Raw genomic sequence first — 24724 nt, 5'->3', positions numbered from 1 at the left:
TCTCCACCTCAGATTTGCAACTTGGCATTTTCCCCCAAACACCACTTTCATCTTTATATAAGTGATTGTGTCTATAAAGTCTTCTAAGAAAGGCATGCTGTCTAATCCCATCAGCCCATTTGTGAAACATTCCAGAGGGGAAATTGTTTACTGTCATTGTAGAAGCTATTCTGTTCTTGGCATGCTCCTCAACACCCCCCATGTTTGACATCTTCTTAGCATGGTGGGGAGATGGCAGCCCGATGTGCCAAGCACCAAGCACCAGCCACATAACAAAACTGCTTTGCCAGCCCTTTGGAATAATGCCATATGAACAAAGGAAAGCTTAATGTGAAGTAGAACCAAACTCCACCTCTAGGCACAGAGATGATAGAGGCCCTCTGCCTTTTCCTTCTACTCCTTCCTTTCTAGAAACACAGACTGAGGTGACATTTGGAAAAGAAGTATGAATGTGTTATAAAACTGGAAAGACTTTTGGCTGAAGAAAGCCTTCTCTGCAAGTTCTGAATATCTTTGAGGGGCAAGAGTAGGCTAGAGGAGAGGGAGTAAGCAGAGTGACTGTTTTGGCCTTCAAGGAAGAGTCAAGGCTGGGCGTAGTGGCTCACCCTTGTTATCCCAGCACTTTGGGGGGCTGAGACAGGCAGATCACTTGAGGCCAGTTCAAGATCAGCCTGGCCAACATGGCAAAGCTCCCTCTCTACCAAAAATACAAATATTACTGGGTGCCTGTAATCCCAGCTACTCAGGTGGCTGAGGCACGAGAATCACTTAAACCCTGGAGGTGGAGGTTGCAGTGAGCCGAGATTGCACCACTGAACCCAAGCCTGAGCGACAGAGTGAGACTCTGTCTAAAACAGAAAATAAAATTAAAAAGCCAAGAGAATCAGCAGTTTATTCAACTCAGATCATCAGAGGCCAAGGAGTTTTGAGAAGGGCAGATAGAATGCAGAGTTCATAATGATAATTCCATATGCTTTATACTCCAAGAACTCCAGAGGCCTTTTCTGTTTAAACATCTTAAACAATATTGTGCTAGTATTTAAGATACACAAAAAGGCATAAAGAATAAAACAAAACAAAATGCGATAGAAGTTGATATACATCTCCCATCTTCTCCCGCTATATTCTAGCCCACAAGTAACCACTGTCCTAAATTTGTAGTTTGCCGTTGTGTGCTTTCCCATGCCTTTGCCACATGCTAGTTGCTTTACATGTTTTTAGATGTTATTTACCTCTGTATTTTATGCACATCTGTATCAGACATAAATAGAAACAAATAGATACAACAGAAAACAACAAAAGGACAGTAATCTAAACAACATACAAGTTTATTCCTCTATCACATTAGAGAAATCTGGAGGTAGGCCAATCAGAGCTTTCATGGTGGCATTTAGGAATCCAGGTACCTATTTTCTATATCATCCTAGCTCACAGTTTCCATTTTTAAAGTAATCTTCTAGTGTAAAGTAGGCTGCTAGAATTTCAATCATTATGTCCACATTGTGAGCTAGAAGAATGGAAAAATGTAGAAGGGCAAAAGAAAGGGTCATTAGCAGCTCAGTAAAACCCCTTTATGAAGTTCCTGAAAATCATAATCATCACTTCCACTTGCAGCTCATTTTCTAGAACTAAATCACATCACCACACCAAGCTGCAAGATCCCTTTTATTATGGGAAGGAATTTTCCAAATAATATTGGTATTTGATTACAAAGTGGAAAGTCGAGAATGTCTGTGAACAACTATAGTCTGCAAATATTTGCACTCTTTATATGCTTGTTTTTGCTTAATTGCATTTGTGAGATTCATCCATATTGAAAGTTATAGCTCTGGTTCATTAATTTTCCCTGCTGTATACTATTTTATTGAGTGAATATTCTACAATTTATTTACCTAGTCTTCTGTTTATGTTTTTTATTTTTGTTTTCTTTTTGGGATGGTTGACAGGAAGTGTTTAAAGAAATGATGCTATGAACATTCTTATGCATTTTCTGGTTCATATATATATGTGTGTTTCTTCAGGGATCTTAATACAAAGTAGAAATACTGGGCCATGGGTATATATCACCTCAATTTTACAAATTTTTGTAAAGGTGATCAAATTTTTCTATCAAATTTTTCTAAAGGTGATAGCACCATTGCACTCTACCAGCAGTCAGTGGTGTCCTTTGTACTCAAAGTCCTAAACAGTATTTGGACACTTTTTGGGTGTCCAAATGACAGAGCCTACCCAAATGAGAAGGAACCAGAAAACCAACTCTGGTAACAAGACAAAACAAAGTTCTTTAACACCTCCAAAAAAATCATTCTAACTCACCAGCAATGGACCCAAACCAAGAAGAAATCCCTGATTTACCTGAAAAAGAATTCAGGAGGTTAGCTATTAAGCTAATCAGATAGGCACCAGAGAAAGGTGAAGCCCAAAGTAAGGAAATCCAAAAAACAATACAAGAAGTGAAGGGAGAAATAATCAAGGAAATAGATAACATACATAAAAAACAATCAAAACTTCAGGAAACAATGGACACACTTATATAAATGCAAAATGCTCTGGAAAGTCTCAGCAATAGAATTTAACAAGTAGAAGAAAGAAATTCAGAGCTCGAAGACAAAGTGTTGGAATTAACCCAGTCCAACAAAGACAAAGAAAAAAGAATAAGAAAATATGAACAAAACCTCCAAGAAGTCTGGGATTATGTTAAACGATCAAACCTAAGAATAACTGGTGTTCCTGAGTAAGAAGAGAAATCTGAAAGTTTGGAAAACATATTTGGGGGAATAATCAAGGAAAACTTCCCTGCCCTTGCTAGAGACCTAGATATCCAACACAAGAAGCACAAAGAACACCTGGGAAATTCGCTGCAGAAAGATCATTGCCTAGACACATTGTCATCAGGTTATCTAAAGTTAAGATGAAGGAAATAATCTTAAGAGCTGTGAGACAAAAGCACCAGTTAAACTGTAAAGGAAAATCAGATTAACAGCAGATTTCTCAGCAGAAACCATACAAGCTAGAAGGGATTGGGGCCCTATCTTCAGTCTCCTCAAGCAAAATAATTATCAGTCAAGAATTTTGTATCCAGCAAAACTAAGCTTCATATACAAAGGAAAGATACAGTCTTATTCAGACAAACAAATGCTGAGAGAATTCACCACTGCCAAGCCAACACTACAAGAACTGCTAAAAGGAGCTCTAAATCTTGACACAAATCCTGGAAACACATCAAACAGAACCTCTTTAAAGCATAAATCTCACAGGACCTATAAAACAAAAATACAATTTAAAAACTAAAAACAAAAAAGCAAAATCCAAGGTATACAGGCAACAAATAGCGTGATGAATGGAATGGTACCTCACATCTCAATATTAACACTAAATGTAAGTGGCTTAAATGCTCCTCTTAAAAGATACAGAATTTCAGAATGGATAAGAATTCACCAATCAACCGTCTGCTGCCTTCAAGAGACTCACCTAACACATAAGGACTTGCGTAAACTTATAAAACAATTCAATGGAAAAATCCTTGAAAGTATTCTGCTCATAGAGAAGACAGTATAATAAACTGATCTGTAAAAAGGCTATAAACTATCATATTCTTATATTTTGTTGTAAGGAGTTCAAAGAACTCAGCAACATGGCTATCACATCTATGAAGAATCAACCATAAATATGTGTCTATTGTGAAGGCTCGAAATGGAATAATTAAGTGAACTGTAGAGGATCAAGCACTCAGCAGGAAGGTAAAGAATAGAACTTGTCCCTCTTAATTTGTAATCTGGACTTCCTGCCTAACTGCAGTTTTCTGACAATGCTGAATATGTATTCATTCATTTATTATTATTAATTCTTAATTTACAAATACCTATTACACACTAACAATGTACCAGGCACAATACTAGTGTAAGGGAGAGATATTTTGAACCCTTAACTTATCTTATTTATATATATATTCCCATCTCCTTTTTAAGTTCTTTCCCCCAATTCAACTAATTATGTTTTTGGGGTTCATAGATTTGGGGAAGTGATATGAAAACAGTAAGCAGAGAAAAAAGCTTCTCTTTGATTTTGTGTTTCAAAAAATTAGGCCCTCAGAGGAACACACAGACTTAATACAGCATAAAATATTTGAGTAAGAAACCTTAAAGATAAGAGCAAGGCTCCTATCTGTCCCCTCCACTCTTCCTTCTAGGAAATGATTCACTGAACTAAACTGAAAATATAGGAGAGTTGGAGGAGGGGTAATAGGAGTCCAGATGTTGATGGGTCTTGAAAAAGGGGCTTAGTGCCTGTTCCAGGTAGGAAAGACTGCAGAGTCATGTTGAGACAGACCACGCCTCATCCAACAACACAGTCTGTCCAGACCCCAGCATGGTGCAGGAGCTGCAAAATGATGTGGATTGCACCTGATAGAAACAGTGGTGAGATTCACTGGATGGAGGACGCCTGTGATTAGAAGAGAATGTCCCTCTGGTGGCCTTTGTGAACACTTGACAGAGACCTGGAAGGACAATAGTTGTCATTGCAGGTGCTGTGTGGACAGAGAACATGGACATCTTAATGGGGTGCCCATGTAATCCCCTTACAAATTGTGCACAACCCCATGGAAATGGATAGGGGACCACTTCAATTCATATTACATTTTTTACCTTGGCAGAACAGGGATTTGCAAATAAAATTGGACTATTTAATTAGTCTGACTACTATTTAATTTAATTGGACTATTCACATTTTTATCCATCTCTGTTATGAATAGTGATTTTATTGACTGAACCAGCTTTGGAATTACATAGTTTGGGAGGGAGATAATAAATGAGTAAGCAACTAAATTAACAAAATAATTATTGGCTGTGAGAAGTGTCAGAAAGGAAAAAATTAGGATACTAGAAAATAACCAGGACTGACCTAGCTAGGGTGGTGAAGGAAGGCCTGAAGGAACAGCCAGCACAGAGGCCCTGAGGTACGAGGCAGCATGGCCTGCTCTGGGTCCCACAGAAGGCAGCTGAGCCAAGTGAGCAGTGGATTAATGCTGGACAGGTGGTGGGGACCAGAGGGTACAGGACATTGTGGGCCATAATAAGGAATTGAGGTTTTATTTCATGTGTCAGGAGAAGTTAAGGGTTTTAAGCAGGATAAATAATAGTCAAATCTATATTTTAAGAAGACTAATCTGGCTTCTGTGTGGAGACTGGATTGTGGAAGGAGGAACACGAATGGAAACAGTGCTCCAGGGAGAAGCTTCTGCTGTGGTCCAGGCCAGAGACTGCAGAAACTTGAACACAAAATGGAAAAAAAAAAAAAGTGGAAAAATACAAGATCTATTTTAGACATAGAATCAAGAGGACTGGCTGATGCATTTGAGTGTGGGAAGAGGCACAGGTGGATGTCAGTGTGGCTCCCAGGGGTCTGCTTTTAGTAACCGGGTAGACATCAGGGCCGTTTTCTGAAATTGGGAAAGGAGGATGCTGGGAGGATGGTGATGCTTTTTCAGGGACGTGGCAGGAAATCAATTGCTTCAATTTGGACTTACTCAGTTTACTACGGCAAGGAGTCCTCCACATGGAGTTTTCAGACAGGCAGTTAGCTATGACTCAGGGGAAGTGTGTCAGAGGAGAGGTCTGGGGAGATATTCAAAGTCCTGCAAGTGGATGCAATTGTTTAGGAGAAGAGTGAAGGAGAAGAGAAGAGAGCCCGAAACTAAACAGGGAGGAATCCACCATTTAGAAGTCTGGCAGGCAAAGAGGACAAGGTGAGCCTGCCTTTAATGTTAGAATTGTCTTCATATTTCTTTCATTCTTCATTTTCCTCTTGCGGTAGTTCTGCTTGGTGACCAGTGTAGCCTCAGGGAGCTGACAAGAACCGGGCCTATTCCCCATATGTGACTCTTATAAGGCCTGAACGAATCTCCTCATGTCTTGGTTTCCTCAGCTACACAAAAAGGCCACTGTGGTAGCAGCCACTCCTTCCTTAGGGTTGGTGAGAAGTGTCAAGATGGAGTTAGGCTCAAGCACTAAGATTTACATTCAAATGCCAGCCATTTTCTCAGTCTTTATGAATAATCCAGACTTTGTGTTTTGGACCCTTAGACATAGTAACAACGCAAACGGAATCAAAATCATCATTCATATTATTAACAAACATTTCTGAGTAATGTTTTGAGTAAATGCCTAATAAAGTTTAAGAAATAAAAGTAACTCATGTTTATTAAAGAGGAATTACTAGGTTTCCATTCATAAGCTTCAATATCCTGCTTAATGGATTCCATACCTAACATAGAAATCCAGTGAATGAATTATGGTCAAACAGTCTACAAAAATTATATGGTTTCCTTTTTTACTGTTGTTTCCCCTACGTGAAATAACAATGAGGAATGTAGCTTGAATAAAGGCATTTCTTGTAACAGAATGAAAGCATTAGGGTGACGCTGGTTGTATTTTAGCTGACTGGAGAGCCTCAAAGCTTTATGGTCAGAATGTGCCCCCTTGTGGAAGATGTGAGTAAAAAACAGTAGAGAGGAAACAGTATTGTGGCCGAGATCTTGGGAAAGAATTGAAGGTGGGAGAGGACTAAAGAGGCAGGAAGCAATGAATTAAAAGCCTGTTGACTACACTTCGTAAAGAACCATATAAGGAAGAAGGCATTGTATCAAATAAGGAAATGAGTGTAGCCAGGTGGAAAGGAGAACCTGGGTTAGGTAAGCTCGCAGTCTTAGGTTCTAGAAAACTTCAATCATTAATAATGAGTATAAATGAAATAGCCACTGAATTAGGCATTTCAGAGTGCTGTCTCTGAGCTCAGCCTGGCTGGGTGCAAATCATGGCTCTGTTAGTAGCTGTGTGACTTTAGGGCGTCATTTTACTGTTCTCTAAGCTTCAGTCATCCCATGTGAAAAACAGAATAGTAACAGTGCCTTTTTAGATGCTGGCTGTTGTTGTAGGTAAAGGTTGCTGTGAGGAGTAAATGAGGTAAAGTATAGAAAGTGTTTTCAGTGTGGTGTCTGCGGTACTGAAATAGCTATCACTACTACCTGCCAGTGTGTGCATTTTAAAACAGTGAAAGACATTTCCTTTTCTATTTTTAAAAATGGCTTCCAGATACAGACAATCACCGACTACAGAGGAAAGCTCTGTGGCTCTGTGAAAGTTGTGAGGCTGAAGATTTTTAAGCCTTTCTATAAGGCTGCTCCAGAGATGGAAAACAAGTTCCCCCTCGACTCATATTCTATGTGTGGGGGGGCAATCCATCCAGACACATTTGGATCAGTGTGACTAATTTGTTTTTACACAGTTGAGGTGAGGTCAGTGAGGGGCTGGGTACTTGGCGGAGCAAGGCTGTTTGGGTGGGTGGTGTGGGGCAGGGGTCAACTTGCTGCGATAGGCAAAGGTAGAAATGGGAAAGGAAATCAGGGCCACAGAAAGAGCCCAGGTTTACTGAAACCCAGAAGAGCTCTACTCCCAAGAGGGCACAGGAGAACTTTATTGGGCCAGTAAACATTTCCACTCAAGCAGCTACATGGTGTCAATGGGCAAACGAAAAAATAACAGGATAATTATAGAAAGTTTTCTGAAATTTGCTTTTATTTTTTTAAAAAAGTGTTTGCCTTTTAATTTCCTCAAATGTGCTACCAAAAATTCAGGTATTTTAAACGTCAGGAAGCACTGGTATGACTAAGTGGAAGAGCGGCTATCAGGGAAGGAGGTCAGCAGTGTGCCTTGGGTGTGAGGGCCGCACACCCAGCCTGAAGGGCTCTCCTTTAGAAGGAAGCTTCAAGAAGATGTGCTGACAGATGGTTCTGCCCCATTTCTCATTCAATGGAGAGCTCCACAAGCTGGGTTTGAAATGCTACTTTTGTGAAATAGTTATCAGATAGGGAATTCCATTTCAACTAACTAACAGTTGGAAGTTACCTCCCTTCTCTTTAGTCACTGTAATGAGTAAGTTTCTTTTGTTTTCTTATATCACAAAATGACAGCCCAATAAGCTCTGGAAATTAATTCATTCTAGTGAATGTTATGAAATGAAACAAAACCAGTTTAATGACTGTAATAACTGAGGTTGGGCATCCGTGACATTCCCTGTAGCCACCCTGTGCTTCTTGCCTCCCTTGGCAGGCTCCTCGGCCTGGGTCGTTCATTTATGCTCCCCACAGTACTCTATCCAGCACTCTACCACCCTCTCCTCAGAAGCTCTCTGCAACTCCCACCTAGCCAGTTCACACCTCTGGGTCACTCACATTTTCTGTTTTGTCTTTTCTGGATCTGGGCTGAGAAGTGAGACCTTTGCTTGCAGGGAGAAATCACCAGATGGTGCTGTCAGAGTCCACCATGTATTTATGCTCTCAAACTCTGATTTGAGACCTCAAGACTTGATTCAAATCTTGTTTCATTTTTTTTCTTTTTATCTCATCACATTCTCCATGGTGTCTGACTCAGACCTATTCCTCCACCCCTAGGTTCTCAGCCGGATGCTACCACTTCCCACTCCTAGGAAATCATATTCCATCCTGTATTTTAGAAGATCTAGGGTAGTTTTCTTGGCTCTCGTTTGTCCACAACAGACTGATTTTTGTTGTTACTCTAAGACATTTTTTTGCATGCCACAGTGGGTTAGGCCTTCCTTTCTGCCAAGGCTGACCCAGCACTCTTCTCTGGATCCTGTTCCTTGGAGCCTTCTTGAGTGACCATCTCCATCAACTATCCCCCTTCTCTCTCCTTGTGAGTTGCTTCCTTTACGCTTCCTTCTCCTCTATTCAGTTCCAGTTTTACTTATCTATGACTCAACTTCTGCTTCTCTTTCAAATTTTCTTGAAATTAACCTCTGTGTTTATTTCCAGTGACCACTGTCCTTACAGTCTAAGCTGGGCCTTATCACTGTTTTACAAGCATTTTCTATGAGGCCACTGATGACCTCTCTTTAGGCCTTATTTTTCTTAACCCCTCTGAAAAGTTTCAAATGGCTGACCATCCTCCCATTTTCTTGATACTCTCTCCACCTCCTATCCGTATGATTCTGCCCCTCTGAGTGTTTTCTTGTTGCCTTTTTTTTTTTTTTTAAGCACTGGTTTTGTCTTGCCCCTTCCAATCCATTCTCCATGTGTGGTCAGAGCATTCTATCTAAAATAAAAATCTGATCATGTCATTCCTCTGCTTAAACCATGCAAGCTTCCAGTTTAGGATCCACCCCGAATCTATAATATGGCTCATGAGGCTTTGTCCATCTCTTTAGCCTCCCTCCTCATCACTTCCCATTCACTCAACTCTTCTCAGTCTGTTTCCTCTGATTAAACACTCTTCCTGTACCTTCCAGCTATGCCCTCATCCCTCATTGTCCCCTTTGACAGGCAAAGTCCTGCTGCTTTTGCATGTTCAGTTTAGCTATCACTTCCTTCTGGAAGCCTCATCTGATCTCTTCCATTCATGGGTTGGCTGTCTCTACTATGCGCATGTGCTCCTGAGCCATCCTTTCTCTTTCCTTCTATAGATATAACCATATCATTTATGAGAGAGATATATATTCTCTCAATAGCTAGCTAGCTAGCTAGCTAGCTAGATATCTCTTTTTTCATCTCTGACTCCCACCCCATTCTGTGCACTCCATGACAAAAAGGCTTTGATTGGTTAGGTCAACACAGAACCCAGAAATGACACATGGCAGAGACTTAATTATCAGGACAATGAATTAATTTGGTTATACAATCCAAATAATAACTAATAGTAACAAAAATTAACTAACATTTCCATAGTGCTTTCTATGTGTGAGTCATGGTTCTAAGTACTTGAGTACTAAATATTGTAATAATTCATTTAATTCTTCTAACATTCACAAATAGTAGATCTTATCAGGTTTATATTTTTATAGAAGAGTAAACTGAAAAATAATAGGATAATGTTTTAGACCAAGGGTAAACAAATCACTGCTCTTGGGCCAAATTCAGCCAGTTGCCTGATTTTATAAATAAAGTTTTATTGATAGATAGCCATGCTCATTCGTTTATGGCGTCTTCTGTGGCTGCTTTCCCACTATAATGGAAAAGTTGAATAGGTATGACAGAGACTATATGATTCACATAGACTAAAATATTTACTATCTGGTCCCTTATAGGTTCATACAGAGTATCTGCCCCAAAAGTCTGCATTTGAAGCATGCTGAAAAATCATGTTTATTTATGTCATCTTTTTGTTTCTATCCTGAGAAGACAATCCCACTACTCTCAAACCCCCCTTTTAATTTTGATTTTCTATTTTATTATTATTGTGTTGTGGTAGTATATTAAAGCAAAATCCATCTGTCTATAATGTAAAATAATTTTCCTTGGTAGAGTTTTTTTTTTTAACCATGACCTGACTATTTATACCTTATAGAATTTAGAAGTTGAAAGTGCCCATGGCCTCACTCATCTTTTTAAAAAACAAATTTGGCAAATGAGATCTGGAGATCGTGATTTATTTGCTAGGAGTCATGTGATCAGTCATGTAGGTTCTGGATAACAGCCCAATTCCCCTGACCTTCTGAAGAAGGCCCTGGTGGCCCAGCTCTCTGCCTCCTCGTTGGCAGGGGTCCTGAGCACCCTCTCTGGCTGAGACAGCAAGGTCAGATGATTTGTTTTTCAAATACATACAGCCAATTCCTAAGCTCTCAACAAAAACAGGACCCAGAGAGTCTAGCTAAGTTATTGCTATTATCTTTCTGTTTGACCTTGTCTAGACTTCCACCCTGGCTTCTTTGTTTATCTCATTTATGCATGGGGCGTGTGTGTGTGTGTGTGTGTGTGTGTGTGTGTGTGTGTGTGTGTGTGTGTTTGTGTGTGCATGTGTGTGGAGTCTCCAGTTTTCATGACCAAACCTTAAGCAAATGAGAAAAATGCCTTAGGGTCTAACTAGAATGAATGCTACTCTAATAAATATTAGTTTTGATATCATCTGAGCCCCAGGATACGGAATATGAAATTTCCAAATGGTTATTATTCAAATCAATCAGTAAAGAGTACATCAGAGCCTCAGTGGAGCTGCACAGCTCAATTAGCACACATGGCATCTACTCAGCATTTCCTGGATGCAGCTCACATCACCCAGGACCCTGTGTGAGCAACACTGTGGTTAAGGATATGTCACAGCAAATCAACAAAATATGCAGTTTGATCAGCACATTCTGAGAGCAGATCATTAAAATATGCAACCAGATCCCCCAAGTGCATGAAAAATTAACTAACGAGTTTTGTATCTTGATCAGTTTAATGAGTGAGAAGTCGCTGAACAAGAGTGTCAAATTGTACAGTCTGGCAAGGGGGCAGACAATCGTCAGAGAGCAGCTGGGAGGGCCAAAGCTAATACTTTTTGTTTTCAAAATACCAAGCCTTAGAATTCAATGTCAGAAAAAGCTGATTAGTATTAAGATATTGTCCAGCTTGTGTCCAGCAGGATGTGATGTGATGTAGAGCCTTCTGATGTAAATGAAACATTGATTCTGTTTCAGGCTTCACTAAGTCTTAACAGACTCAGCTATGCGCCTGGAAGGCCCTGCCAATGGCATCATATACACATGTGTAGAACTAAGAGGCAGTGGCAGCCTTCTGGAAATATCTAAACCATCCAAGCTTAAAGAGCAACTAAAAGGAAGAGAAAAAACTTATTTAATCAAACTGTGTCAGAGATGCCTCATGCTATTAAGCAGGACTTAATAAACCAAGAATGTCCAAGCTAGAAAGTGGGTGGAGAATTTGAGTCAGTTAAGCCCAAGTGGTTGATGATCACTCGAGATGTGTGAATTGGATTGTCACAGAAGACTGTAGGGCCTGCTGTCACCCTGCTATTGGCAGGATGCTGATGGGGAGGTTGACAACCTACTCTTAACATAGCCACACATGCCCCTAGTGACTTGGCCCATGTGTAAACAGGGACTTGAGCACCAGTCTGTTAATTCTGCTCTGATACTTTATCTTGGTCGACCGGCTGGCATTGCAGCTGCGGGAATGTTGGTTTCCCAGGGCATAAATTTACCCCCTTTTATAGTGAGCTGGGCAACAGAAAGATGGCAAGCCCAAATAAAAGGCAGAAAGCAAATCCAAATGGGAAACATTCTACAGACAAAGGGGAAGATTGGCAGCCTGGCAAATGCTGAAACCAGAGCTGGCTGCTGGTTGCCCTTCCAGTGAACATGTACTGTTGGAGCAGAGGAGATGGGAAGAGAAGCAGACAGTCGTGTGTGTGTGTGTGTGTGTGTGTGTGTGTGTTTGTGTGTGTGTGTTCCTACTTTTAATTAGACTTTCCTAAAGTGTGGCACATGGACATAGAATGACCTTTGGTCAGATGTGATATGTGGAAAACTTTAAAATATGTTGATAGTTCTGATTCTATTTTCATGAATGTCAGGTAAAATAGAAATAGCACATCAAACTCATGATTTCACTAATATTTCTTAAGGTGAGGTAAGTATAGCAAAAGTGAGCCAAATTAAGACAAACTTAATGAAAAATACTGCATTTTGAAATAAAATATGAAATGAAAAATAAAGAAAAATACTATATATGTAACAGCACATGTGATAATGGATATCTCAAAAATTATAAAGGGATTTTCAAATGGCTTAAAGTTTAGGAAAATTTGGACTAGATTACTTTCTTTAAATAAGAGAGTTTCATGCCATTCAGTCAATGAAACAGGACTTATGAAAAGTAATAGCTTGGAGTGGATAATTTTAAGCAAGAAAGGAGGATTGGAAATAAAAAAAGGATCTCAAAGTTTGTCATTTATCCCATTTTCAATTGTCCAGGGGGCTAAAGAAAACTCTTCAGCCATAAGCCACTCTTGAGGCTGACATATTAATGAGCCATCATGAAACCATAAAAAGTACTTTGGATTACCAAAAAAGTTCAGTTATTAAAAGTTTTAATTAAATTTGTATGAAGAGTTTATTATAGATGATATCATATGTCAAAAGTACACATACTATATATGTGTGTCATACATATACACACACACATTTGTATATTTTAAAAGAATAAAACAAACGCATATGTTCCCTCTAGCCTACTTAAGAAATAGAAAATGACTATTTCAGAGCTGACAATGTGCCCCTCCAATAACAACTCTGTTCCCTTGCATTTCCACGTAACTCCTGTATTGAGTTTAATGCTAATTTTATTTGTCTTTTTAATAATCTTACCACATATGCCTGTGCTGCTAACATATTGCCTAATATACTTAAATATAATATTTTCTGTCCTTGCATTTTATATGAAAAGGATCATTCTATATGGATTCTTCTGTGATTTGCTCTTTTCACTCAACATTATGATTTTAATGTTTATACAAGTTAATATGCATAGATTTAGTTAATTTTATTCCTACGTGCTATTTCAGTGAATCTATCACAATAATTTATCCACTATACTGCTTATGGACATGTGGATTGTTTTTTGTTTTTGAATGTGAATAAGGCTGTTTTTACGGATCTCCTGGTGTTCACGGGCAAGAGCTTCCCTTGGTAGACACCTGGGACTGGCATTGCCAGGGACAGGCACGTGCTTCTTCCGTGTCATAAAGTACTGTCATATAGTTTTCCAGAACAGTCTTATCAATTTGCATTCCCACCATTGACAATAGTAACAAAAATAAGGTACCTAGCAAAAAAATGTACAAAGCCAAATATGAAATAAAATAATTTATTGAAAAACATCAAAGAAGACCTAAATAATTTTGGAATTATGGCAACCTTATGAATGTGAAAATTTAATGTAAAAATGTTAATTCTTCCCAAATTATCTGTACATTTCATACTCTTTCTCTCCTTCTTTCTTTCTTCCCTTCCTTTCCCTTCCCTTTCCTTCCCTTTCCTTTTCTGTCTCACTCTGTCACCCAGGCTGGAGGGCAGTGACATGATCACAGCTCACTGCAGCCCTGTCTCAACCCAGGGTCAGTCAATCCTCCCACCTTAGCCTCCTGAGTAGCTGCCACTACAGGTGCATGCTCCCATACCTGGCTAATTTTTCTATTTTTTTTGTAGAGATGAGGTTTCACAATAATTCCCAGGCTGGTCTTGAAGTCCTGGGCTCAAGCCATCTGCCCACCTCAGCCTCCCAAAGTGATGGTATTACAGGTGTGAGCTGCCACACCTGACCCGTACTATTTAATTTAAATTTAGATAGAGTTTTACATGGAAGTTGCAATCTGATTCTGAAGTTTACATGGAAATGCTAAGGGCCAAGAATCACTGGAATAATTTTGAGAAAGGAAAAATAAGGCAATGTGCTCTACCAAATATGGTAATTGAAACAATGTGGTATTGGTGCAGGGATAGACTATATTCTAAAAGAACAAAACATATTATAGATTCTAGAATCAGACTCTTCCCTAGAAGAAAATGGTATATGTGAAGATGGCAGTACAGCTCACTGGAGAAGGGATTCACTCCTAAAACAAATGGAACTCTACTAATTGATTATACAAAAATAAAATTTTTTAAATACAGATCCTTATATTCCACCACAAACAACTGTCAATTCTTTGTGGATTAAGGACTTAAATGTGAAATGCAAAACTTTAAAAACTTTTAGGAGACAACAAAGGAGAATATATTTATAATCATGTAGAGAAGGATTTTTAAAATAAGACACAAAAAAGCACAAAGCATAAAGAAAAATTTTATAATTTTGACTACGTTAAAATAAATACATCAAAGGAGATTTAAAAATATCATAAATAGATCAAACTTTAAGCCACAGACTGGGAGGACATATTTGAGATACATATACAGGAAAAAGAACACATAAAATACATACAAAGAGCACTTATGCATCAAGAAGAGAAAGATCAAGAATCAAATGGAAAAATAGGCAAAAGATATGAATAAACACTTCACAGAAGAAAATGTGAATGGCAAATAAATACTGAAAGATGTCCAAATTCATTGATGAGGACAAATTTGAAAACAAGCACTATTAACTGTTAATAATGATGTAAAGAACTCTCACCCACTGCAGATGAGAATGTAAATCTGTACAGCTATTTGGAAAATAAATAAGCATTTTCAGTAAAGTGAGATATTCACATATCCTATGACCCAACAATGTCATTGCCAAGAGAAACACTTGCATGTTTGCATTAGGAGACATGTATAAGGATGTCCAAAGCTGACTCTTGCAGTTGCAATAGCTGGGAACAAGTCATATGTCCATCAAAAAAGAAAGGATAAAATGAGAGAAAGACATACAGTGGAATACTATGCAACTGTAAAAAGTAAATCATCCACAGCATCATAGGATGAATCACAAGAATGGAATGTTGAATGAAAAACATTGAGTCACAGAAGAATGTGTACTACATTACCACATTAATATTAATATCTCAAAACATGTAAAATAGAGAAACAAATAGGTTATAAAACTATGACGCAAAAAGCAAGAGAATGATGATATACAATTCAAGCAGTGCATTATTTCTAGATGAGAAGAAGGAGGAAAAATTGGGGAGTGCATACATTCTAATTGCAGTTAGTGTCTATTCCTTAGCCTGAGTCATGAGTATATGAGTGTTAATGTCATCATTCTTTAAATTATATATTATACATAATCTATATTATGTATAATATATAATGTTATTCTTTATATATAAATATACATTACATATGCTCATTTGTATATGTTGTAGAACTCACAATTTTAAAAAAAGAAATTATGCAAGTAACAAATATGGCAAAATTTGTGAAAGTGTCACTTGATTAACCAAAGAAAGGGTCATTCTTTTCCAGAACGAAAAAGGAGCTGTGACAGCAGGATATGCACTGCCAGAAGTTCCAGCAATTCTTTGGGGACACCAGTGCATACATAAACATTTGGCAACTGACACGAAATAGATATTTAATAGAGTTGGAAAAGGGCCGGGCATGGTGGCTCACACCTGTAATCCCAGCACTTTGGGAGGCCGAGGCGGGTGGATCACTTGAGGTCAGTTCGAGACCAGCCAGGCCAACATGGTGAAACTACAAATACAAAAGAACTAGCTGGGCATGGTGGCTCATGCCTGTCATCCTAGCTACTTGGGAGGCCGAGGCAGGAGAATTGCTTGAACCTGGGGCACGGAAGTTGCAGTGAGCCAAGATCGCACCTCTGCCCTCCAGCCTGAGTGACAGAGTGATACTCTAAAAAAAGAAAGAAAGAAAGAAAGAAAAATAGTAATAACAATAATAAAGTTGGAAAAGGAAGTAAGTGAGGAACAGAGGGGAGAAAGGCAGAGAAAGGGGAAGAAAGAGGCTAGCTGCCCTCAGTTTGTAAATAATTGATTCTACACAATAAATAGATTCCTTGTTTGGAAAGAGTTCAGTGCTTATTTTCAAGGAGGGAGAGCTCTATTCTCTTGTAGAATTTAGCCCATTGTGTCTTCATGTTACTAATGGCTATACTGACAGCTATAGTACACCATGGAGACTTGCTTGTCAAACATTAACTACTATGCCATGTTATTATAGATTTTTTTTCTGATAGAGTAATCACTACTACTTATATGGAATGACAGAAGCTGCCTGATAGTATTTAATCTAATTTGAAAATACAAGAAATAGCCCAGCTATGTAAGACATAGAAAGACCCAAAGGGATTTTTTTTTTTTAAGTCAGAACAGGAAAGGAACCATTAAACATATAACTGAACTCTGACAGACTGCACCTTTTGCTTTGGTTTCATGGGAATTGGGGTTGCAGGTAAATAATACAGTATGTTGATTGTATGCTTGAATCTGCATTTTCAATTAAGTTTTAAAAGTTGAATAAATACAAAATAATATTCACCACATATTTCTTAAGTACAAACAGGATAAAAAAAGAAAACTTACGTACATATCATGCAGCTTTTAGAAAATAGAACATTAATGCAATCTTAAAGCTCTTCGTGTATTCTAGCTCCTCAACATTCCATTATCCTATGAGAAATAATGACTATCTTGAATTTTATTTATATCATTCCATGTTTTTATTTCTAGTGTTATATATTTATACATATTCTTAAACATTAACATCTTTTCTTACACATTTTTGAACTTCATGTAAATATAATCATAGTGCATTTTTCTACTATAACTTGTTTTTTTAATTCAGCACCCTGTTTTTGAGATTCATCCATGTTAATGTGTCTATAATTATGTATGTGTCTATAATTCATTCATTTTCATTGCTCTATATAATCTCACTGTATGAATATCACAACTTATTTACTCATTTTCTTATTAATGGTTATTTAAGTTGTTTTCAGTTTTTTGTTATGACACTGTGAAGTTTTTTGTATATGTGTCCTGGTTTTCATGTACAGGTTTCTCCAGAACTATTCCTAAGGAGTGAAATTATTAGGTTATATGACACGTGCATCTGCAACTTCATTAGATAATCTAAATTGTTTTCTAAAGCAATTTACTAATTTGTACTCCCACTAGTATTGATTGAAAGTTCCTCTTGTCCATATCGTCACTGGTCACTTTTTTTTATTTTGAGACGGAGAATGCCCTGTCACCCAGGCTGGAGTGCAATGGCGCAATCTCGGCCCACTGCAACCTCTGCCTCCTGCGTTCAAGCAATTCTCTGCCTCGGCCTCCCAAGTAGCTGGGATTACAGACGCCTGCCACCATGCTGGCTGATTTTTTTTTTTTTTTGTATTTTTAGTAGAGATGGGGTTTCATCATCTTGGCCAGGCTTGTCTTGAACTCCTGACCTCATGATCCACCCATCTCGGCCTCCCAAAGTGCTGGGATTACAGGCGTGAGCCACCGCGCCTGGCCTGGTCACTTTTGACACTGCTATGGGTTAGTATTCAAGTCCTCTGATGTATCCACTTAAATCAGCATAGCTGTGATTTAGTCATTATACAGATCACACACTTAGATCTACACCCACTACCTGAAGTCAGTGGCTCATATTGAATTTGGCTATGGTCTCCTCTGGATATTGATCAAAAAGCAGGACTTTAAAAGGTGGATAATTCTTGTTTTTCCAATAAAGTGCTGATTGACAAATATGAGAAAAAAAACATGATGTTAGTAGTACACATAAAATATTGTATTTGGCACTGCTGGAAAAATCACCCAAGTTCTGTGGGTTTCTGACTTTGTAACTACAAGATATTTGGATCAAAGTATACTTATTTTAGGTGACATATGAATTCATAATCCAGGGGAAAAAGTCTCATAAAAATAACAACATTAAATATATCTTACAAAAGAACCATTTAACTTGGCAAAATATTAATGAAATAAAACACATGGGTTAGATTTCCCTTAAAATACACATAGGAATAAAATGTGCTCAACAAAATGTGCTCTGGCTCTTGCCAAACAAGAAACATCTGAAAATAACCTAAGAGACTTTCTTAAACCACAGCATGTTTCTGGCTTTGTCTGCCACTTAATTAAGTGTTGCTTTAATAATGAAGCATATTAGGGATGGGGGTTGCATCTAGTTCACAAACCATTCTTTATGGGGTAGTAAAGATAAAGACAATAGTACCCACATTTAAAAAAAATTAATTTCATGCTCTTGCCTTCTTAGCATATGTTTCTTATCAGCCTTAGTAGTTGTTTTCTGAAATCTCCTTTAGTTAAGAAAGTTAGTCATTGTTTAGTCCTTGAAATTTTGGTGGAAATCTTTTATGATGGCTCAAGGATAAAGGAACTAGGTAAGGTGTTTCCCTGGCAACTCTTATACCATTGCTTATAAAGAACCAGAGTTATGTATGCTGGTGAAGTATATTTGGAGTTTAGACATTTTTCAAGGCAATTTATTGCTTTATTTAGTGTCTTTACAATGTGAACTCTTGAACTATTAAAAGTAAGGTTGTAGAAATGACACAAAAGCATTCATAAATGCCATTTCAAAGCAATCCCAGTGCATGTGCAGACAAATTTTCTACTCTTATGAAAAAAATTCATTTTTAAAATAAAATATTAACTGCTTCAGAATTCTACTTTGAATAAAGACAGGCTATGTAAATCTGACCAATTGTCCTACTAAGGACAATAAAATTTGGAAAAAAGATAATTTTTAAGTGTTTGAAAGAATAGTTTGTTCCAAGGTTCTGAAAATGCAAAAAGATATTAAAGTATCAGTGAGTCAAGATGTGAAGAGGGATCAAAGCCCAGAGAGGTGAACCTGGCTTTGGGGGCCATTTTTCTTTGGTGAGCTTTGCTGACTCAAAGGGACCCTGAAAGTCTAAGAGGCTGAGAAGTTGAGTATTACTTTTCACAGCTTCACAGAGAAAAATCAATGGCCATTAGAGTTTAGGACCTATCAAGAAGGAAAGGTGACTTGTAGAAACCCCTGTAGAAACTCTGAGGGTATCTATCCCAGAGACAGGATAAATGGGAAATAGAAGTGAACTCAACTTAAACTTATATCAATACCTAAACTGAATTGAGTTGATACCATGCTAATGCCTCTAGGTACCTGGCATAAGCAAATATAAATCCTCTTCCTAAGAACATGACATCCTTAGCATTAAATTATTTCTACGATGGACACTGCAAATACAATGTCCATTAACACACACACACACAACTTAGCATACAAGGAAACAATAAAATATGAATAAAAACTAGAAAAAAATAGCCAACAGAAATGCACTCTCTGAATCCCCAGGTACTGAAATTATTAGGCATAGACTTTAAAATAATTATGCTGGCTGGGTGCAGTGGCTCACTCTTGTAATCCCAACACTTTGGGAGGCCAAGGTGGGTGGATCATGAGGTCAGGAGTTCGAGACCAGCCTGACCAACATAGTGAAACCCTGTGTCTATTAAAAATACAAAAATTAGACAGGAGTGGTGTCTCGTGCCTGTAATCCCAGCTACTCAGGAGGCTGAGGCAGGAGAATCCCTTGAACCTGGGAGGCGGAGGTTGCAGTGAGCCAAGATTGCCCCACTGCACTCCAACCTGGGCGACAGAGCAAGACTCTGTCTCAAAATAATAATAATAATAATAATTATTATTATTATTATCATTATTATTATTATTATGCTTACCAGGTTCAAGGAGGGGGAAAAAGATATAACTAAAAATTCAGCAGAGAATTGGAATTTATTAAAAAAGAAGCAAGTGAAAATTCTATAAACAAAAATTACAATGGCTAAAATTAAAATTTTACTGGATGGAAGTCTGTTAGTCATGGCTGAAGAGGGAATTAATGAAGCGGAAGACAAATCAGAAAAAAATATCCAGACTGAAGCACAGAAAGTCAAAGGATAGAAACTACAAGTGGAATTAAGAGATATAAATAGTGCAACAAAGTAGTTTCTTCCACATGTAACTGAAGACTTATAAGGAAAAGAAAGGGAATGGGGCAAGAATAATAATTTGAAGAGGCAACAGCTATAAATACTCCAAAAATGACCTCAAACTACAGATTCAAGAAGCCCTATGAATCTTAAGTGAGATAAATTAAAAGAAATCCACACTTAGGTACATCATAATATCATTGCTGAAAAAATATCTTGTGATTCCTCCATATGTACATATGTATATATACACACACATACATACACACATATTATATGTAGACATATAAAATTATATACATGTTTACTTGTTATATTCTTTAAGGAAGTGCTAAAAGAATAGTAAATGAGTGTATATTAATAATTTCTAAACTTATTGAGGAGAAAAGAGGAATAAAAATGCTCGAAGTAAACAAAAGCAAGACATCAGAGAAAAAAAGAATCATAAAACAAATACAACAAATGGAGAACAAATACCAAGATGGTAAACTTAAACCCAAATATATAAATAATGAAATTAAATGCAAATTGTCTAAATGTTCTAGTTAAAAGGCAAAGATGAACAGATTTAAAGAAAGATAAAAACCATGTGATGTAAAAAAGAGACATCTAAAACATAAGGATAAAGAGAGGTTAAAAGTAAAAGGACAAAAAAAACATAGCAAGCAAATATTAACCAAAAGAATTATGTAGTTATATTATTATCAGAAAAGCCAACTTTGAAAGAAAAAACACTATTAGAGAATGCATCATAATAATAAAATTAATTTTGGTGGATGTAGTGGTTCATGACTGTAATCCCAGCACTTTGGGAGGCCAAGGTGGGAGGATCACTTGAGGCCAAGAGTTCAAGACCAGCCTGGGCAACACAGCAAGACCGCATCTCTAAAATAATTTTTTAAAATTAGGAGAGCATGGTGGCGCACCTGTAGTCCAAGCTACTCAGGAGGCTGAGGTGGGAAGATTGCTTGAGCTCAAGAGTTCAAGGCTGCAGTGAGCTATGATCATGTCACTGCACTCCAGCCTGGGTGACAGAGTAAGACCCTGTCTCTAAAAAATAAAAATAAAATAATAAAAGTTTTTATCCGAAAGGAAGATTATAACAATTCAAATTTTCTATCTAGGTATAACAGAGACTCAAAATAAATAGAATTACAAAATAGACAGAACTTCAAAATAGACATAAGGAAAAATGGACAATTCCAAAACATACCAACAATTATAACACACCTCTAAATATCTAATAGAACAAGCCATAAAAAAACTAAGATTATAATAATAGAAAAAATAATTTTAAAACTCAATCTAATGTACATGAATAGAACACTGGATTCAGCAAGCAAAACATTTTTTAAATGATCATATGCTGAGACATGAAACAAGTTTCAAAATATTTTAAAGGATTGAATAGAGTAGGCTCTCTGCCCACTGTTGGAGAGTAAGAAGATAACTAGAAAAATCTCTAAATGTTTGAAAATCAAACAGTGGATTTGTAAATAACTGCTTGGGTCAAAAAAGTCACAATAAAAATAGAAAATATTCTGAACTCAATGATAATAAATATACAACATATCAGTACTTACAAATGGCAACTACAGCCATGAAACTTACGGTTTTAAAGGCAAATGTGAGGGAAAAAGAAAAGCTAAAAAATCCATGGCCTTAACTTCAAGCTTAGGAAAGTAAAAAACAAACAAACAAACAAAACCCCAGCAAAATAAACCTAGAGAAAGTGGAAGGAAGTAATGAAGATAAGAATATAAAATCCATAAATACAACTTACAGCAAAGACTTTAGCAAACCAAAAAGAAATATGAAGAGCTAAATAGTAATTCCAAGAGGCTAGGGGAAAATGTAAACCCAATAAAAGTTGTAGAAAAGAAACAAGGAGAAAAAAGTAGAAGTTAATGAAATAGAAACTACAAAAATAAAAATAAAAAAGGTGGGAGTGAGGCTGACCAACAAAACTGACTCTGGTTCCTTGAAATGACTAATGGCAAGATGGTTAAAAAAAAAATCAGAAGTGGGTACAAATGAATTTTAAAAAGAAGTAAGAGATAAATAAATTAGGGGAAAAAGTTTATATTTGCAGATGATAAGATTGCCAACAATACAAGAGAATCTACACGTAAATATTTAAAGTTAATAATACGGTTCAGCAAGGGTGCAGATAAAAACCAATATACAAACCTTAAAGTTCCCTTATACTAGGAATAATAAAAAGAAAATGTAATAGGAAAAAAGAATCACATAAAAAAGAAGGAACAGCGACTGAACTATAAAGTATCTAGGAATAAACCCTACAAATATGTGCATGAACTTAATGAAAACAATATGTAATAGTTTATTGAGGAACATAAAAGAGTACTTGAATTAGTGGAAATTTTACCTTGTGCATAAATTAAATAAATCAACATGTGAAAGATATTGATACTCCCCAAATGATCTATATATTCGTTACAATTCTCATCAAGATTTCAAATTGATTTCTATGGACTCTGGTTGCATGTAAAATTTATGTAGTCACAGAATTGCTAAGACATTTCAAGAAGAAAGAACAATGAAGGGGTACTTTTTCTACACTGTATTAAGACATTAAAAAATTAACATAATCAAAAATGGTGTAGTACTGGCATGGAAGAAAACAAATAGACCAATGAACATAATAGAGACTCCTGAAATAGATCTGAACATATATGTAAACTTGGAGTATAATAGAGTTGGTATCATAAATTAATAGATAGAGTATAACCACGTTTAAAAATTTGTATTAGAAAAATGTGCTCTCTATATACAGAAAATAAAAACGGACTTCTACCTCACATTAAAAACAACAAATGAATTTTGCATTAAAACCTAAACAGGAAAAAAACCTCTACATATTTTAGAAGAAAATAAAGGAGAATCTTTATGAACTTGGGGTAAGCAAAGATTTCTTAAGACAGAAAAAAATATAAACTATCAAAGGAAAATGATTTTTTTTAATGAAAAACATTCAATCTAATTTATTGCTCTATTTTTAGGAATACAAAATATTAAAATTACCCAAGTGCCAGTCATTAAATAAATGGTGGCACATCTGCACAGTGGACTAATAGCTTTAAAAAGAGTCAGTAAGCCCTCCACATGCTGAGTTGGAAAGAGCACCAAGATATATTGTTAAGTAATTAAAGCAATTTGCAGAACTGAGTGTATAGAGCAAACAACTTTGTATGTAAAATCGTGACAATAGGTCAGGCATGGTGGCTCATGCCTGTAATCCCAGAAATTTGGCCAGCTGAGGTGGGTGGATTGCTTGAGCCCAGGAGTTCAAGACCAGCCTGGGTAACATGACAAAACCCCATCTACCAAAAAAAAAAAAAACACGAAAATTAGCCTGGTGTAGTTGCGCAAATCTATGGTCTCAGCTACGAGCCAGGCTGAGGTGGGAGGATCTCTTGAGCCTGGGAGGTTGAGACTGTAGCAAGCCGTGATTGTACCACTGCACTCCAGCCTGGGTATCAGAAACCTTGCTGGAAAAAAAAATCATGGAAATAAAATACATACTTTTACTTGTTTGTATTTGAATTAAGAAACTTTGGAGGATACATCTTGTTTCTTGTGGCAGAGGTTCAGGCAAGAACTAAGTAAATGAGAAACAAGGATATGAGAATGGGTATCTTTTCACTCTATATCTTTTAATATGTATATCTTAAATTTTTAACTATGCTAATGTATTACTTTTTTAATTTTAAATTTTGAAAAACAAAACTTGTATATAGCAAAGATTTCCTGTCAACAAAGCTGAAAAACAAATTAAATATAATTACAACAAATGTAGCAAACAGAGCCTTAGTATCTGCAGTATGTAAAATATTCCTTCAAATCAGTAAGAAAAAGACACTCCATATGAATCCATGAAAAGAATATTAATTTGAACAGGTATTTAACAGGAGAGGAATTATGAATATGTTCAGAGTGTAAAATATATTTACTCTCATCACTTATCAGGACAAGGTAAATTAATACAAAAAGATACCATTTTCATCCATCAGGTCAAATTAAGGAGGCTTTGTTGAACAATGTCAGATATGTGACAAAAAGTCACCCTTGTGAGAACATTAATTAGTACTGACATGTTGAAGTGTAACTTGGCAGCATTTAATCAAATTAAAAATCTGCATACCCTACAACCCAGAAATTTCACTTCTGGATAGGAATCCTAGACAAATTCCTGCAACCGTGCACAAGGAAGCACTTACAAGGATGTTCCTTTTGGCATATATTTAACGAACACTCACGTAGCACTTACTACATTCCAGTCTTGATTCCAAGCACTTTACAAATATTACCCCATACAATCCTCATAACAGCTCTAGGAGGTAAGTACCATTAAGATCCCCACCTTATAGATTTTTTTTTAAACTAACATAACAAAAATGTTGAGGACATTGCCTAAGGTCATGTGGCTTGTAAATGGTAGGAATGGATTTGAACTTAGG

The 24724-nt window shown here is 36.9% G+C and overlaps 1 annotated feature.

Moving 5' to 3' along the window:
- Window positions 4069-4506: a transcriptional cis regulatory region, noted in NCBI's record as "candidate enhancer chr3.4666 targeted for multiplex CRISPR interference". NCBI's record gives its function as "positively regulates VEPH1 gene expression with high confidence in K562 cells {active_cell/tissue: K562}" and the evidence as "EXISTENCE:mutant phenotype evidence [ECO:0000015][PMID:30612741]".

This window comes from Homo sapiens, chromosome 3 (assembly GCF_000001405.40).
Source record: "Homo sapiens chromosome 3, GRCh38.p14 Primary Assembly".
NCBI classification, from domain to species: domain Eukaryota; kingdom Metazoa; phylum Chordata; class Mammalia; order Primates; family Hominidae; genus Homo; species Homo sapiens.
The sequence above is the reverse complement of the archived record's forward strand: the minus strand, read 5'-3'. Positions and strand labels throughout refer to the sequence as shown.